The 18939-nt window shown below is 44.5% G+C and overlaps 1 long non-coding RNA gene across 1 annotated transcript, besides 2 other annotated features; it reads right to left on the bottom strand.

Moving 5' to 3' along the window:
• Positions 1-3772: 3772 nt before the first annotated feature.
• Positions 3773-17184, bottom strand: LOC105375537 (uncharacterized). The gene is made up of 3 exons (XR_928053.4): positions 17092-17184; positions 16594-16706; positions 3773-4148 (listed from the first exon to the last, which is right to left on the bottom strand). It is a non-coding gene; the product is annotated as an uncharacterized LOC105375537 (long non-coding RNA).
• Positions 6351-6945: an enhancer, noted in NCBI's record as "NANOG-H3K27ac-H3K4me1 hESC enhancer chr7:140766919-140767513 (GRCh37/hg19 assembly coordinates)". NCBI's record gives its function as "activates a minimal SCP1, AML or CMV promoter by ChIP-STARR-seq in primed H9 embryonic stem cells {active_cell/tissue: H9 hESC(primed)}" and the evidence as "EXISTENCE:reporter gene assay evidence [ECO:0000049][PMID:30033119]".
• Positions 16006-16507: an enhancer, noted in NCBI's record as "NANOG hESC enhancer chr7:140757357-140757858 (GRCh37/hg19 assembly coordinates)". NCBI's record gives its function as "activates a minimal SCP1, AML or CMV promoter by ChIP-STARR-seq in primed H9 embryonic stem cells {active_cell/tissue: H9 hESC(primed)}" and the evidence as "EXISTENCE:reporter gene assay evidence [ECO:0000049][PMID:30033119]".
• Positions 17185-18939: the final 1755 nt, after the last annotated feature.

Raw genomic sequence — 18939 nt, 5'->3', positions numbered from 1 at the left:
GCAGCCTCCGGCGGCGGCGAACCCAGCGCGGCCGCCTCCCGCCCCCTCCCCGCCCCGCAGGAAGCGACTGCCCCGAAGCAGCCGCCTCGGCTCCCAGCCCGGCTTCGGGCGCCGCTGCCCTCGGGCCGGAAACTAAATGCCAAGTGTCCTCGGCTGCGGTGGGGCTTCTTTGTGCAGGATGGTGACGGGACAGAACTCGCCTGTCTCTCTGAGGGGGACGGGGGGTGCTGTCAGGAGGCGCCACTGGACCACCGGGTGAAGTAGAACGCCCCGGATGCGGCCGGCGGGCGAAAGAAACCTCCAGGTGCTGGGGCCGGCTTCTCGGAGTCCCTCCTGGGTCTCTGGCTCAGAGCCTCTCCCCCTCCCCGTCTGCAAGCAAAGACCTGGGGCGCGCACCCAGAAATGTTCTTCCTCTTTGGGTCGGGTCCTCTTAAAATCTCCGTTCTCTGGTCACCAGCAGGTCGGTTGCTCCTTCTGACCCGCGTGCTGCGCTCAGAGGCGCACTCCCCGCGGACGCACGCTCTCGGCCGACCTTTCCCCGCGAGCTCCCCGGTGCCCTGCCTCTGGCATCGCCATTCAGGCGGCCCCTCGGGCCGACAGCGTGTTCACCCGGGCGGCGTTACCGGACGAGACCCGGCCTGGGATCTGCGGAGACTGGGCGGCTGCTGGCGGACGCGAGGGGCGGGCTGCGCGGCGGAGGGTGCACCAGGCAGCGCTCACTGCGCGCGGCGCTAGGGGCTCGGCCCACCGCGCCTTCAACACCATGGACAGGTCACGCCGCCACGGCGCGCTGCCGGCCCAGCCGCCAGCCCCCGAGCGTCACGCAGCTCTTCCCAGCGCCGTCTTCTGCCTGGAGTGTCCACCCGACCGCCTCCGGACCCGGCTCTCCCGCGACGCCTCCGCCTCACTTCATCTGGCACCCGGGAGCCCCGGGAGCCTGCCGCCCAGGTGCAAAGAAAATGCCGCAGGCACCGAAGAAAACCCCGGTCCCGGCCCCTCCAAACAATCCGCCCCTTTCTCCAGGCACCTGAGCCCTTGGCACTCTGGCACCCCGTCTGCTCTGCCCAGCTGGGCTCAGTCGCTCTCAGATTGCACCATTTTCTTCGCAGCCCACCCGGGCGCCGAGATGCCGGCTCACTCGACAGCGTGCAGAGAATCCCGTCCTGGCCTCGGCGTCCCACGATCCGGCTCCCGGCGCGCGGTGGTCGCCGAGATGAATGGGGAGAGGGTGGGGGAGGGAGGCTGGGTCACTCGGCTTCCCCTCGTCGCCTCCTCCTCTAGCCGCGGCGGCTCCGAGGCCTCGCAGGCTCGGCTGGTGCCCGGGAGGCGCGAGAGCCCAGGCTGCGCCCAGGGGACTGGGGAAATCGCATTGCCCGGGTGCGGGCGCCGGAGGAAGCTGCTGCCGCGCTCTCTCGTCCGGCGCGGGTAGCTGCAGCCTTGGCTAAAACCCACAGACGAGAACACCGAGCGCGCAGCCAAAAGCTAGTGATGTCATCCGTGCAACGTGAGCCTCATCTCTTATTTTTCTAGTCTCCTTAAAGATAAACTGCACCATTTCCCAGGCACGAAATGTCTAAGTCTTATTCTTTGACCAGGCAAGTCAATGGTGTCTAGATAGGTATGTGCCCAACCACATCCATATTTATGCACATATACATATATGTGGTATGTAGCATGTTTACATGCATTATTATAAATTTAGGGATGTTGCCTACAGCTCCTGTTTCTCTTTTCAGCCATGGAAAATTCTCTCAAATCCACTACGGTTATTTAAAGGAAAAACTGCTTATTGCGGAGTCGGCCTTCAAAGGGGCCAAGCGAGCTCCCTGCATCCCCGGTTTGGGTCGCTGGTGTCTTGGGAGGCATTTGATCTTTTTTTCCCCAGAAAGCCACAGGCGCTACCTTGCAAGCTACAGGCGTTTCCACCTAGGACTGAGCTGAGAGCGGCTGCGGAGTTATCCGGCCAGCCCCAGTCCAGTCCCAAGCCAGAGCCAGGCACCCCGACACACACCCACCTCCACCTGCCCTCCCTCCTCGGCAGGAACAGAAAGAAGAAATTTGGCTGATCGACTCAAGACGAGAGAAATTTAATGGTGGATGGGGGGTGGTCCGTTAGTAGATATTTTGAAAACGCTGGAGAGCTCGAGCGTTGAGGGAAGGTGGGGTTAAAAGAAACCTCGATGCAGGGTTTGTCATTTTGTAAGGGTGGCCGCTGGATTTAGGCTCTGCAGGGGCTCTGGGAGGTAGCGCCGGACCCCAGACCTTGAGCGGGTGGGCCCCAGGCAAGCCCCGCTTCATCCCAACTTCAGCCCCCCTGCTCTGCTCACGTGAGACGGCGCCGCAAAGGCTGGGACCCTCCCTCCCGGCATCAAACGCTGGGTTTTTCACTCTAATGCTCACCCCTCGTTTTCACCCTCACCCCAAAGTCGAGGTCCGGCATTGCCGGGTAAAGAGTTGCCCTGGGGAAAAAGAGAGTCTCTGACACCCTGCTTTGCACAACGGGGCTTGTGAGCCAAAATGAGCGCACCTCCACCATATTCTTTTTGTCTTTTTTTTTTTCCCTCTCTCTCTCTCTCTCTCTCCCCCGCCCTTCCTGCATTTTGAAAAGCGCGAACGAGGCGTTTCAGTGCCATCTAGTGGGGGAGGGGCGTGCCTCGCTTTCGCTTTTCACCCCTGGATTCTGCAATGGGATTTGCCCAAGGGACAGCAGAGCCTGAGGAGGCCCGCTGGATTCTCGGGTGCCCGGCTGGTCGAGGGACTGCAGGCATGCGCCCTTGGCCAGATCTCTGCCCTCTGGCTGCCCTAGGATGTCGAGATGGAGTCAAGTGACTTTGGCCCCAGTGTCTTCTAATCTTCCTTTCTACCCACCCCCCTTAACCAGTGCACCCTCCCCCAACCTTGAAAATAGAGAAACAAATAAGCGCAAACACTTTGCACTCATGCAGACAACGTCTTAAATTTCTAAAGTTATCTTCTTCACTAAAGTCGAGAGCACTTTTAGGCTAACAAGCTGCCTGCATTTGATAACAGGGAGGTAGAAAAGGGGTGAAATGACATCTACAAGGTCACTCGCGAAATCAGGGCACAGGGGGCCTTCAAGCCCCAGTCTCCTGGTTTCCAGCTTTCCTCTCTTCTTAAACCCGGCCGAAGGGGGTGCCCCTGAGACCACTGGCAGTCCAGGCAGTTGTTCATTCCTAGTAAATGTACCTGTTTATTTTGTCCTTATCTTTCCTTCCTCTTCCATTGTGCCACCCATCTAGTTTCTCCTGGCCTGTACCTGAGGCCTGCTTCCAAGGATGTGCCTGGCCCACTCCCCAAGGTCCTCAGCAGTCCTGTATTTCGGGCCCTGCTTGCAGTGGGAACCCAAATGGTACACTATCCTCCTCTTTACTGAACATCATTAAAATTCTATTTTGAAATGTTTGTCCTTGATGAAATCCCAAAAATCCTATAAAGTTATTGATTCATGGCCTCCTTTGAAGTGCAATTACCTTGGGCAGCCCTATATTATTATGGGATGATCCTGGTCCTCGGGGCTAAGACGGTTGCATGACTATCTTTTCTTAATTGGGTGATCTAAGTTTCTTCCTGCTGCCTGCTTCCGATTCCTTCCACTCTGCTAGCTATAGCATCACCATCTTTGGGTTTCCAACCTATTTCTTCCCATTTGCACCAACACCATCCCAGATCATAGGATCTCAAAATCAGAAGAGTCTAGAGTCAAACACACATGTAATAATGCATGAATCTCTTTTACAACATTTTCCAAAGAGTGAATGACCAGCTTCTGCTTGCACACTTGAAGTGATGGGGGAATCACTTTGTCTGCAAGCGGCCCACTCCACTTCAGACAGTGAAAGTAGCTACACAGTTCTTCCCTATACTGAGCTTTCTCCTAAGTCTGTATAATTATACTCATTGGCTTTTGTTTTTGCTTTCTAGAGGCCCACAATGAGGCCTGATTTGTCTTCCATTTAGTGGTCCTTCTTGCCCTTGACATCAGTCATCATGTTCTTCCTACATCTTCTTTCCTCCAGACTAAATACCCCTTGTTCATTCTTGTGCTTGCTCTTCTCTGGTTTCTGATACTTTCTGGTTGTTAGTGTTCCTTTTAGCTAATACCTCCTTCATCTAGAAGTCATGTAAACCTATGAAGAAAATTTGGTAAGTCTGTCATGTTCTTATATGTGGAGTTCTTATATATCCTTTGTGGAGTTCTAATGATCCTCACTTCCTCTTCTGGGAGCCCATAAGTCATCCCCTTCTTAAGCCATTCCTAGAATCTTGCTCCAAAATGGCATTAAGGTCATTGATCTGTGATTTGTGAAATCTGCATTTTTCAAATTTGGCGTTTCATTTGTTCACACCCACCCACTCCCTTTTTTAAAGCAATATTAACATTCTACAAGCTCTCTCTAAAGTCACCGACAAAGGTTGAGACATCATTCAAAGTTCTCTCCATTTCCTGGAACACAGTTCACCTGGAGCAGACAGATGTTTTCCTCCAATTTCTTCACCCCTTCTGAACTGCCTTCAGTTACCATATTGTTCTACGCTATACCACACCTTCGGCCTGAAAATCTCTCTTTGACATTGTCAATTGAAAGCAAAACAAGTTGATGAGATGTTCTTTCTCTCTGCCACATATCAATATTAATATTACACAATTTGGCCAGGTGCAGTGGCTCACACCTCTAATCACAGCACTTTGGGAGACCAAAATGGGAGGATTGCTTGAGCCCAGGAGTTTGGACAAGCCTGGGCAACATAGTGGGATCCTATGTCTACAAAGCTGGGTGTGGCGGCATGCACCTGTGGTCCCAGCTACTCAGGAGGCTGAGGTAGGAGGATCACTTGAGCCTGGGAGGTCGTAGCTGTGGTGAGCCATGATGGCACCACTGTACTGCAGCCTGGAAAACAGAGTGAGAGACCCTGCCTCAAAAAAAAAAAAAAAAAAAAAAATACACCATTTGTCTAGAGCAAAGTTTCCCTACATATTCTTATTTCTTTTTTCGTAATTAACTTTGCACAATTTGGACATTATTTGTAACCCAAAAGTTATTTTGAGCTCTAGCCCTCCTGACACAGTTCCCAGGTCAATGACATGCTAGTATTTATGGGCAAACAGGTATCTTTCTTTTCTCATGCAGATCTTCTTTCTAAATCTCAGTTTTAAGACTGGGCAGGGTGGCTCATGGCTGTAATCCCAGCACTTTGGGAGGTCGAGGCAGGGTATCACTTGAGGTCAGGAGTTTGAAACCAGCCTGGCCAACATGGTGAAACCCCATCTCTACTAAAAATACAAAAATTAGCCAGGCATGGTGGCAGGTGCCTGTTATCCCAGCTACTTGGGAGGCTGAGGCAGGAGAATCACTTGAACCCAAGAGGTAGAGGTTGCAGTGAGCCAAGATCACACCACTGCACTCCAACCTGGGTGACAGAGTGAGACTCAGTATCAAAAAAAAAAAAAAAAAGTCAGCTTTAGAGAGTCATATTAGTTTAACTACCTTCCTTCTCTTCTTCCTCATCTTCCTCCACCCCACCACCATATTAATCTTCTTAAATTCCACAGTTATCCTTTAAAATCCTGTAGTAGGGTTGGGCACAGTGGCTCACGCCTGGAATCCCAGCTTTGGGAGGCCAAGGAGGGCAGATCACTTGAGTCTGGGAGTTCGAGACCAGCCTGGCCAACATGGCAAAACCCCATCTCTGCTAAAAATACAAAAATAAGCCAGGCATGGTGGTGCAGGCCTGCAATCCCAGCTATTCGGGAGGCTGAGGCACGAGAATCACTTGAATCCAGGAGGTAGAGACTGCAGTGAGCGGAGATCATGCTGCTGTACTCCAGCCTGGGTGACAGAATGAGAGTCTGTCTTAAAAATAAAATAAAATAAAATTCTGCAGTAGTTTCACTTTGTCTGTACCTTAAAGTTCAGACCTTTTACATCTCTATAAGACCCTGCCCAGGGCTTCAGCCTAGCCTCTAACGATGACTTCCTCACTCTCAAAGAAACACCCTCGGGTGGAGGAGCCAAGATGGCCGAATAGGAACAGCTCTGGTCTACAGCTCCCAGCGTGAGCGACGCAGAAGACGGGTGATTTCTGCATTTCCATCTGAGGTACCGGGTTCATCTCACTAGGGAGTGCCAGACAGTGGGCGCAGGCCAGTGTGTGCGCGCACCGTGCGTGAGCCGAAGCAGGGCGAGGCATTGCCTCACCTGGGAAGCGCAAGGGGTCAGGGAGTTCCCTTTCCGAGTCAAAGAAAGGGGTGACGGACGCACCTGGAAAATCGGGTCACTCCCACCCGAATATTGCGCTTTTCAGACCGGCTTAAGAAACGGCGCACCACGAGACTATATCCCACACCTGGCTCAGAGGGTCCTACGCCCACGGAATCTCGCTGATTGCTAGCACAGCAGTCTGAGATCAAACTGCAAGGCGGCAACGAGGCTGGGGGAGGGGCGCCCGCCATTGCCCAGGCTTGCTTAGGTAAACAAAGCAGCCGGGAAGCTCGAACTGGGTGGAGCCCACCACAGCTCAAGGAGGCCTGCCTGCCTCCGTAGGCTCCACCTCTGGGGGCAGGGCACAGACAAACAAAAAAACAGCAGTAACCTCTGCAGACTTAAGTGTCCCTGTCTGACAGCTTTGAAGAGAGCAGTGGTTCTCCCAGCACGCAGCTGGAGATCTGAGAACGCGCAGACTGCCTCCTCAAGTGGGTCCCTGACCCCTGACCCCCGAGCAGCCTAACTGGGAGGCACCCCCCAGCAGGGGCACACTGACACCTCACACGGCAGGGTATTCCAACAGACCTGCACCTGAGGGTCCTGTCTGTTAGAAGGAAAACTAACAACCAGAAAGGACATCTACACCGAAAACCCATCTGTACATCACCATCATCAAAGACCAAAAGTAGATAAAACCACAAAGATGGGGAAAAAACAGAACAGAAAAACTGGAAACTCTAAAAAGCAGAGCGCCTCTCCTCCTCCAAAGGAACGCAGTTCCTCACCAGCAATGGAACAAAACTGGATGGAGAATGATTTTGACGAGCTGAGAGAAGAAGGCTTCAGACGATCAAATTACTCTGAGCTACGGGAGGACATTCAAACCAAAGGCAAAGAAGTTGAAAACTTTGAAAAAAATTTAGAAGAATGTATAACTAGAATAACCAATACAGAGAAGTGCTTAAAGGAGCTGATGGAGCTGAAAACCAAGGCTCGAGAACTACGTGAAGAATGCAGAAGCCTCAGGAGCCGATGCGATCAACTGGAAGAAAGGGTATCAGCAATGGAAGATGAAATGAATGAAATGAAGCGAGAAGGGAAGTTTAGAGAAAAAAGAATAAAAAGAAATGAGCAAAGCCTCCAAGAAATATGGGACTATGTGAAAAGACCAAATCTACGTCTGATTGGTGTACCTGAAAGTGATGTGGAGAATGGAACCAAGTTGGAAAACACTCTGCAGGATATTATCCAGGAGAACTTCCCCAATCTAGCAAGGCAGGCCAACGTTCAGATTCAGGAAATAGAGAGAATGCCACAAAGATACTCCTCAAGAAGAGCAACTCCAAGACACATAATTGTCAGATTCACCAAAGTTGAAATGAAGGAAAAAATGTTAAGGGCAGCCAGAGAGAAAGGTCGGGTTACCCTCAAAGGAAAGCCCATCAGACTAACAGCAGTTCTCTCGGCAGAAACCCTACAAGCCAGAAGAGAGTGGGGGCCAATATTCAACATTCTTAAAGAAAAGAATTTTCAACCCAGAATTTCATATCCAGCCAAACTAAGCTTCATAAGTGAAGGAGAAATAAAATACTTTATAGAGAAGCAAATGCTGAGAGATTTTGTCACCACCAGGCCTGCCCTAAAAGAGCTCCTGAAGGAAGCGCTAAACATGGAAAGGAACAACCGGTACCAGCCGCTGCAAAATCATGCCAAAATGTAAAGACCATCGAGACTAGGAAGAAACTGCATCAACTAATGAGCAAAATCACCAGCTAACATCATAATGACAGGATCAAATTCACACATAACAATATTAACTTTAAATATAAATGGACTAAATTCTGCAATTAAAAGACACAGACTGGCAAGTTGGATAAAGAGTCAAGACCCATCAGTGTGCTGTATTCAGGAAACCCATCTCACGTGCAGAGACACACATAGGCTCAAAATAAAAGGATGGAGGAAGATCTACCAAGCCAATGGAAAACAAAAAAAGGCAGGGGTTGCAATCCTAGTCTCTGATAAAACAGACTTTAAACCAACAAAGATCAAAAGAGACAAAGAAGGCCATTACATAATGGTAAAGGGATCAATTCAACAAGAGGAGCTAACTATCCTAAATATTTATGCACCCAATACAGGAGCACCCAGATTCATAAAGCAACTCCTGAGTGACCTACAAAGAGACTTAGACTCCCACACATTAATAATGGGAGACTTTAACACCCCACTGTCAACATTAGACAGATCAACGAGACAGAAAGTCAACAAGGATACCCAGGAATTGAACTCAGCTCTGCACCAAGCAGACCTAATAGACATCTACAGAACTCTCCACCCCAAATCAACAGAATATACATTGTTTTCAGCACCACACCACACCTATTCCAAAATTGACCACATACTTGGAAGTAAAGCTCTCCTCAGCAAATGTAAAAGAACAGAAATTATAACAAACTATCTCTCAGACCACAGTGCAATCAAACTAGAACTCAGGATTAAGAATCTCACTCAAAGCCGCTCAACTACATGGAAACTGAACAACCTGCTCCTGAATGACTACTGGGTACATAACGAAATGAAGGCAGAAATAAAGATGTTCTTTGAAACCAACGAAACAAAGACACCACATACCAGAATCTCTGGGACGCATTCAAAGCAGTGTGTAGAGGGAAATTTATAGCACTAATCGCCTACAAGAGAAAGCAGGAAAGATCCAAAACTGACACCCTAACATCACAATTAAAAGAACTAGAAAAGCAAGAGCAAACACATTCAAAAGCTAGCAGAAGGCAAGAAATAACTAAAATCAGAGCAGAACTGAAGGAAATAGAGACACAAAAAACCCTTCAAAAAATCAATGAATCCAGGAGCTGGTTTTTTGAAAGGATCAACAAAATTGATAGACCGCTAGCAAGACTAATAAAGAAAAAAGAGAAGAATCAAATAGACACAATAAAAAATGATAAAGGGGATATCACCACCGATCCCACAGAAATACAAACTACCATCAGAGAATACTACAAACACCTCTACGCAAATAAACTAGAAAATCTAGAAGAAATGGATACATTCCTCGACACATACACTCTCCCAAGGCTAAACCAGGAAGAAGTTGAATCTCTGAATAGACCAATAACAGGCTCTGAAATTGTGGCAGTAATCAATAGTTTACCAACCAAAAAGAGTCCAGGACCAGATGGATTCACAGCCGAATTCTACCAGAGGTACAAGGAGGAACTGGTACCATTCCTTCTGAAACTATTCCAATCAATAGAAAAAGAGGGAATCCTCCCTAACTCATTTTATGAGGCCAGCATCATTCTGATACCAAAGTCGGGCAGAGACACAACCAAAAAAGAGAATTTTAGACCGATATCCTTGATGAACATTGATGCAAAAATCCTCAATAAAATACTGGCAAACCGAATCCAGCAGCACATCAAAAAGCTTATCCACCATGATCAAGTGGGCTTCATCCCTGGGATGCAAGGCTGGTTCAATATACGCAAATCAATAAATGTAATCCAGCATATAAACAGAGCCAAAGACAAAAACCACATGATTATCTCAATAGATGCAGAAAAAGCCTTTGACAAAATTCAACAACCCTTCATGCTAAAAACTCTCAATAAATTAGGTATTGATGGGACGTATTTCAAAATAATAAGAGCTATCTATGACAAACCCACAGCCAATATCATACTGAATGGGCAAAAACTGGAAGCATTCCCTTTGAAAACTGGCACAAGACAGGGATGCCCTCTCTCACCGCTCCTATTCAACATAGTGTTGGAAGTTCTGGCCAGGGCAATCAGGCAGGAGAAGGAAATAAAGGGTATTCAATTAGGAAAAGAGGAAGTCAAATTGTCCCTGTTTGCAGACGACATGATTGTTTATCTAGAAAACCCCATTGTCTCAGCCCAAAATCTCCTTAAGCTGATAAGCAACTTCAGCAAAGTCTCAGGATACAAAATCAATGTACAAAAATCACAAGCATTCTTATACACCAACAACAGACAAACAGAGAGCCAAATCATGAGTGAACTCCCATTCACAATTGCTTCAAAGAGAATAAAATACCTAGGAATCCAACTTACAAGGGATGTGAAGGACCTCTTCAAGGAGAACTACAAACCACTGCTCAAGGAAATAAAAGAGGACACAAACAAATGGAAGAACATTCCATGCTCATGGGTAGGAAGAATCAATATCGTGAAAATGGCCATACTGCCCAAGGTAATTTACAGATTCAATGCCATCCCCATCAAGCTACCAATGACTTTCTTCACAGAATTGGAAAAAACTACTTTAAAGTTCATATGGAACCAAAAAAGAGCCCGCATCGCCAAGTCAATCCTAAGCCAAAAGAACAAAGCTGGAGGCATCACACTACCTGACTTCAAACTATACTACAAGGCTACAGTAACCAAAACAGCATGGTACTGGTACCAAAACAGAGATATAGATCAATGGAACAGAACAGAGCCCTCAGAAATAATGCCGCATATCTACAACTATCTGATCTTTGACAAACCTGAGAAAAACAAGCAATGGGGAAAGGATTCCCTATTTAATAAATGGTGCTGGGAAAACTGGCTAGCCATATGTAGAAAGCTGAAACTGGATCCCTTCCTTACACCTTATACAAAAATCAATTCAAGATGGATTAAAGATTTAAACGTTAGACCTAAAACCATAAAAACCCTAGAAGAAAACCTAGGCATTACCATTCAGGACATAGGCGTGGGCAAGGACTTCATGTCCAAAACACCAAAAGCAATGGCAACAAAAGCCAAAATTGACAAATGGGATCTAATTAAACTAAAGAGCTTCTGCACAGCAAAAGAAACTACCATCAGAGTGAACAGGCAACCTACAACATGGGAGAAAATTTTCGCAACCTACTCATCTGACAAAGGGCTAATATCCAGAATCTACAATGAACTCAAACAAATTTACAAGAAAAAAACAAACAACCCCATCAAAAAGTGGGCGAAGGACATGAACAGACACTTCTCAAAAGAAGACATTTATGCAGCCAAAAAACACATGAAGAAATGCTCATCATCACTGGCCATCAGAGAAATGCAAATCAAAACCACTATGAGATATCATCTCACACCAGTTAGAATGGCAATCATTAAAAAGTCAGGAAACAACAGGTGCTGGAGAGGATGTGGAGAAATAGGAACACTTTTACACTGTTGGTGGGACTGTAAACTAGTTCAACCATTGTGGAAGTCAGTGTGGCGATTCCTCAGGGATCTAGAACTAGAAATACCATTTGACCCAGCCATCCCATTACTGGGTATATACCCAAAGGACTATAAATCATGCTGCTATAAAGACACATGCACACGTATGTTTATTGCGGCACTATTCACAATAGCAAAGACTTGGAACCAACCCAAATGTCCAACAATGATAGACTGGATTAAGAAAATGTGGCACATATACACCATGGAATACTATGCAGCCATAAAAAATGATGAGTTCATGCCCTTTGTAGGGACATGGATGAAGCTGGAAACCATCATTCTCAGTAAACTATCGCAAGAACAAAAAACCAAACACCGCATATTCTCACTCATAGGTGGGAATTGAACAATGAGATCACATGGACACAGGAAGGGGAATATCACACTCTGGGGACTGTGGTGGGGTCGGGGGAGGGGGGAGGGATAGCATTGGGAGATATACCTAATGCTAGATGACACGTTAGTGGGTGCAGCGCACCAGCATGGCACATGTATACATATGTAACTAACCTGCACAATGTGCACATGTACCCTAAAACTTAGAGTATAATAACAAAAAAAAAAACATTAAAAAAAAAAAAAAAGAAAAAAAGAAACACCCTCTAAACATGTTTTGAAAGCTCCACATTGGTATCATTCCTCTTGCCCACATAATATCTAACTGCTCTGGTTTTTAAGATCCTTACAATTACAGGTGCCTCATATCAATAGGTCAAATAAACATCATTTGATCATCTCACTAGAAGCTAAAAAGACCACCAATTAAACCCAACAAACATTCTTGATATGTAAAAGGTGTTCCTAAACTAGAGATAATTTTAAATGAATAAGATCATCTCCTACATAAAGAAATATTTCAAACTAGTAGGAATAAAACAACACAACAGAAAAAAATGTGCAAAGTTTATAAAAAGACAATTTACAGAAGAAGAAATTGAGATGGAAAATTAACATACGAAAAAAACCTCACTAGTAATCTACAGAATGCAAATGTTTTTAAAATACTGTTGTTTACCCACCAGATGGGGAAAAAATCTACATGTCTGTTAATATCAAGTGTTGGCTGGGGCATAGAGAAACATGCTCTCATGCACTTCTGGTGGGAGCATGAGCTGATAGAGCCACTCTAGATGGCAATTAGGAGTCACTGTTAAGATGAAAAAGACATGTCTCTATGACCCAGCAGATATCCTTCTGTACTTGTCTGCCCATGTCATCACATAACTATCTCCTCTTGTGTATCTTCACATCACTCCTCTGTGCATCTCCATCTCCAAATTTCCCTCTTCTTATGGGGACAACAGTCATATTGCTATAGAGACCTACCCTACTCCAGTTTGACCTATCTTAATTATCTTAATTAATTACATCTACGATTATGCGATTTTTTTTTTTTTTTTTGAGACAGAGTCTTGCTCTGCCGCCAGGCTGGAGTGCTATGGCTCAATCTTGGCTCACTGCAAGCTCTACCTCCCAGGTTCAAGTGATTCTCCTGCCTCAGCCTCCCGAGTAGCTGGGACTACAGGCGCACACCACCACACCCAGCTAATTTTTGTATTTTTAGCACAGACAGGGTTTTACCATGTTGGCCAGGATGATCTCGATCTCTTCACCTCGTGATCCACCCACCTCGGCCTCCCAAAGTGCTGGGATTATAAGCGTGAGCCACTGCACCCTGCCATGATGACACTATTTCTAAAGAAGATCACATTCTGAGGAACTGAGGGTTAGGACTTCAACCCATAACTCTACTTTTCATACAGAAAAAAAAGGGAGCATAAGAAAATATACATGTATCTACTTATTTGTGCAAAATCAAAGGGTAAAAAGCCAAGTAGGCAACAGTAAGTTGATAGCAGGAAGCCACTAGCACCCTGGGTTAAAAGCAACATTGAGAGACCCCAGGGCAAGCATACAAATGAAGGTCCACATACCATAAGTCTCAATGTTTAAAATAAGTCAAATGACAAATTGTTAAATCAAAGTGTGTTCTATCCTTCTATATTACAAATACCTTTATGATGACAAAATTTTGAAATAAATACATGTAAAGTTATTTTAGTTTTTTTTCTTTTTAATAGAGACAGGGTCTCATTCTGTTACCCAGACTGGAGTGCAGCGGTGTACTCCACTGCAACCTCAAACTCCTGGATTCAATTGATCCTCCCATCTCAGCCTCCTGAGTAGATGGGACTACAGACGTGTGTCACCACACCTGGTTAATTTTCATATTTTTTTGGTAAAGATGAGGTTTCACCATGTTACCCAGGCTGGTCTCAAGCTCCTGGGCTCAAGTAATCCTCCTGCCTTGGCCTCCCAATGTACTAGGATTACAAGCATGAGCCACCATGCCCAGCAAGTTATGTTTCTTGCATAAATAAAAGTTGGCAAAATAGCATGTGCTGGTGAACCAGCAATGTTCAAATACATAGTAAAATAAAAGCATTTCATAATTCATAACTAATTATACATATTTTTTCTTATTTTTCTTGATGTTTACTCCAGAAAAATCATTAATCCTATTGCTATAATCAAGATTTTCACATAACTTCTGTTGATGGTAATGCCAAATGTTCTTAACAACTTTTTGATTCATTGTAATTTTTCGATCATTTTTTGTTTTGTTTCAAGACAGGGTCTCTCTCTGTAGCAGAGGCTGGATTGCAGTGGTGCCATCACAACTCACTGCAGCCTCGACCTCCCAGGCTTAAGAGATCCTCCCACCTCTGCCTCCTGAGAAGCTGAGACTACAGGTGCACGCCACCGCATTTGGCTAATTTTTATATTTTTAGTAGAGATGGGGTTTCACCATGGCTCCCAGGCTGGTCTCAAACTCTGGGCTTAAGCAATCTGTTCACCTTGGCCTCCCAAAGTGCTGGGATTGCAGGCATGAGCTACCATGCCCAGCCAGATAGGTTTTTTTAGCATTATTAATTTCAACTTGGACAAATTTCACTCTACTGAGGCAGTAACACTTTTATTGGAAGTATTGGTAAAATTTTTAAAGCATACTTATTTTGAAATTTTACGTTATTTTCAAGCACTGTAACAATCATCTATGAAAAGCTTATAGTGCAGAACAATATTATATTTTACTTTTATCATATAAATCATGATCGATCATATATACCTTTTTTTTACCATCTCTTAAAGTAATATCTAGATCCATATAACATTTCTTAAGTTCGTCTTTCAAATATTCCAATGCTAGGATAAAGGAGACCAAAAATCAAAACATACTGCTTAATTTATTAAAATCAGTCTTTAATCAAGACCATATCTTGATCTATAATGATTGGAAAATAGTTTTTATAGACATTACTTTGGGATAATGAATCTTCTCCTTTAAAGTCTTTCTTTTTTTTTTTTTTTTAGATTTGCCTAATCTGGATATTTCTTTTTTTTTATTTTATTATTATTATACTTTAAGTTTTAGGGTACATGTGCCTTGTTCAAGGGAAAGCCATTCTCATGCCTCAGCCTCCCAAGTAGCTGAGACAAAGGCATGCACCACCACACCTGACTAATTTAAAGTCATAAAGACATTTTCATTTTCTTGTTCTAATGTCCTAATATTTTATTATAATATCATTTTGATTTCACATGCAGTTCATTTCTATTTGGAGAAAAACATTTTCTTTAAAATTTAAACATATATTTTAAAAATTAAGTGAGAAATTGCCAAACTTAGATCTGAATTTTTACAGATCTAAGATTTTACAGATCTAATTTTTACAGATTTCTGTTTCTGTACATTTTTTTTTTTTTACTTTTTTTTTCAGTTTAATCCTTGGATTTCGTTTGGCTTATATGTTAAAAATCCTCAAAAGAAAGGAAACTAAGCCAGAAACCTTTTAAGGAGGACTCCCTTTCAGGACCTCCTACCTATTTTGTTTACATTATTAATAACAAGCAATAGTTCATATCAAAGAATTGTGGATAGCACAAATCCAAAATTGATTTCCTTTTCCACCAAAGACCACATTTTGCTCTATATGTGAGCATCATCTGTTGTTTCAGGTAGCTGGTACATCTTATATCTAGTATACCTTATGTATTTTATGTATTTTCTAAATAAAATTTAATGACTTTGGCAGCATTTTCTAGTCAGAATTTCCATCATATGTCTTCAAGTGGCTATAAGATCAAATTTAAATGTGCTTTGTCTGTGGATAAATTCAAGATATAGCACAAATACCTATAATCTTTTAATTTCTCCAAAGAATTTTACAACTATTGGCTCAAGCTGAGGCCACATCTCTTAGTAACACATTAAACTATGTACGATATGTGACATTAGCATGTTTCTGTATTTTAGGCCAAAATTCAGAATGGGTCGAGAAATATAGTTAAGAGCAACATGAATTGCTTAATATCGCAAAACAGTCCTCAGGTACCGTGTACAACTGTTGCAAAATATCATCCTAATTCCCGTGTAACTCCAGAACCACGAAGTGGAACACCAAAGGAAGACAGAAGATGGATACTTATGACTTCTGGGAAATTATACTTCCTTATTCAAAAATCTACTGAACACATGCTGTCTGGGAGAAAAGATTGACAAGTTAATCATTTTGTCCTCTTTTGTGTCTAAGTGCTTCTACCTTCAGATCCTCTCAGCACATCAAAGCAGAATCCACCCCCAACATCAGCAGCAACACAACCCAAAACACTTAATGGCACTCAGATGCAGTTGTCTTTTGTTTTGAGGATACAGGCCAAGAGGTATGTCAGAGCACTTTCCTGGGGCCCATTCTGTGTTAACCAGAAGAGCAGAAGTTTAGGGTCACAGCCCATGCTGTGCAGACCTGATGCAGGAACTCAAGACACAGAGGCAACCATGAATTCTTCAGTTCAGTTATTTGTGTGTGTTTGGAATATGCAGAGCCCTCTAACGTGGGGTTGGGAAGGGACCCTCTTGCTGGGGACTAAGGGCAGCCTAGCTGAAGAAACAAAAAAAGGAAGAAGTATTTCCTGAAACCTGGAACCAGGTTTGCCCAACAGAAGCTGGACCCATGGAGACACCTGTCTGGCCAGAGCTGGAGCCACGAAACAGATGCAGCTGTTGCTAGAGTTGCTACTTGTGGCAGAGAACAAGGGAGGAATACCTGGGCTTCTCCCTTTCTTCTATTCACCAATCTCTTGCCAGAACCTCCCAGGGCCTGCACTCAGCAGGAAGCCAGCTGACATGGGAACCTTGGGACACGCCGATTTCAGTCCACTGCAGTACAACAGAGCGGGGAAGGGCAAGGAACAGATGTTAAGGCAAACAGGACACGGTGAACTGGCACACAGTGAAACTTCAGAGACATTCCAATAAAATCAGGACCAAGATAAATATGCTGTCTCACATACGTATATATATGATGGTTTTTGAGATAGGGTCTCCCTCTGTCAGCCAGGCAGGAGTGCAGTGGCACACTTAACAGCTCACTGCAGCCTCCACCTCCTGGGCTCAAGCAAGGAGCCCAGAGCAATCCTCCCACCTCAGCCTCCCTAGTACCTGGGACTACAGGCATGCACCACCATGTCCAGCTAATTTTTTTGTATTTTTTTGTAGAGATGGGGTTTTGCCATGTTGCCCAGGCTGATCTCAAACTCCTCACCTCAAGTGATCTGTCCGCCTCAGCCTCCCAAAGTGCTGGGATTACAGGAGTGAGCCACTGCATCAGGCTACTATTTAATATATTAGAGGTCAAGAAAAGGGCAGGAAACAAAAATAAGTGTTATAACCATTGGAAAGGAGGATGCAAAACTATCACTATACACAGAAAATGACTGAAAATTCAAAAGAATAAACTAACAAGCTAGTAGCACTAATAAGAGAGTCGGATAAGATGGCTGAATATAAGAAAAATAAACAGATATCAATACTTTCCAACATAATAGCAATTAATTATCAGAAAATATATTGGAAAACTCTTCCATTCAAGATAACAAAAACTATAACACACTTATGAATAACAGTTACAAAGAAAGGAGAGGATATGAAGAAAACTACAAAACTTCATTGAGAGACACAAATGATATAAACAAAATGTAAAAACCTATCATGTTCTGGCCAGGCGCGGTGCTCACACCTGTAATCCCAGCACTTTGGGAGGCCGAGGCAGGCAGATCACCTGAGGTCAGGAGTTCAACACCAGCCTGACCAACATAGTGAAACCACATCTCTACTAAAAATACAAAAAAAATTAGCTGGGCGTGGTGGCGCCCACCTGTAACCCCAGCTACTCGGGAGCTGAGGCAAGAGAATCGCTTGAATCCAGGAGGCAGAGGCTGCAGTGAGCCGAGATCACACCACTGCACTCCAGCCTGGGCGACAGAGCAAGACTTTGTCTCAAAACAAAACAAAACAAAACAAAACCTACCATGTTCCTAAATGAAACAACTCAATACTATAAAAGTGCCGATGCTTTTCAAAGTCATTTATAGATTTAATACGGTGCCAATTGAAATCTCCATTTGTTTGATTTGGAACTTGAAAAAATAATTTTCAAGGTAATCTGAAAAAATATTCATGACAACAGCGAAAATATTATTATGGGATAATCTTTCATAAATATTAAAATATTTTTTAATCACAGTATTTTAAATAGTGTGATACCCACTTCTTAGACTCTGCATTCCCCATCCCAGAAGCCTCAGTATTTTTTTATAAATAAAAAGAACAAGACATGATTCATTAAAAATCATGAAAAACATGATTTGTAAGAAATTAGACCTGTAAGTGACTACAATTCCTCAAGATCTGGAAAAGTGAAAAGGAAATGGCAGCTGCCCAGCCAGGTTTTGACCTGAATGAGTGCACAGCGATGCCCCTCGGCCTATGCAATGCCTCAATGTTTTCCAATCGTTGAATTCTGGGCTGAGGAGGCATAGGTTATGTGGACAGCATCCCATTCTACTTCCAACCTGACTTCTGAGGCCGGATCCTGAAAGTCCTGATCACTTGCTACATTGTCTCCTATAGACTGAATTGTGTTCCCCAAAAATTCTTATATTGAAGCACTAATGCCCAATGTGATGGTATTCGGAGATGGGGTCTTTGAAGGTAATTGGATTTAGATGAGGTCATGAAGGTGGGGCCCTCATGATGGGATTAGTGCCCTTATAAGAAGAGGAAGAGACACCAGAGTTCTCTCTCTGCCACATGAAGACACAGTGAGAAGGCAGCTGTCTACAAGCCAGTATCTGAGCCCTCACCAGAAACTGACCATGCTGGCACCCTGATCTCGGACTCCCAGAACTGTGAAAAATAATTTCTGTCATTTACGCCACCTGGTCTATGGTATGTTCTTATAGTAGACTGAGTAGACTATGGCACCATTGCCCCCGTTTGAACCATAATGTGGAGGGTCTCCCTTACATCCTGCCCAATCAAGTGACATTTTTACATGTTGCAGGACAAGGTATTGACAGTTCTAGAGTGGGATAACTCTCAATTCCCCTTC

Source organism: Homo sapiens, chromosome 7, assembly GCF_000001405.40.
Source record: "Homo sapiens chromosome 7, GRCh38.p14 Primary Assembly".
Taxonomy (NCBI): domain Eukaryota; kingdom Metazoa; phylum Chordata; class Mammalia; order Primates; family Hominidae; genus Homo; species Homo sapiens.
Note: the sequence above shows the minus strand (reverse complement) of the source record. Positions and strands in the feature narration are given on the sequence as shown.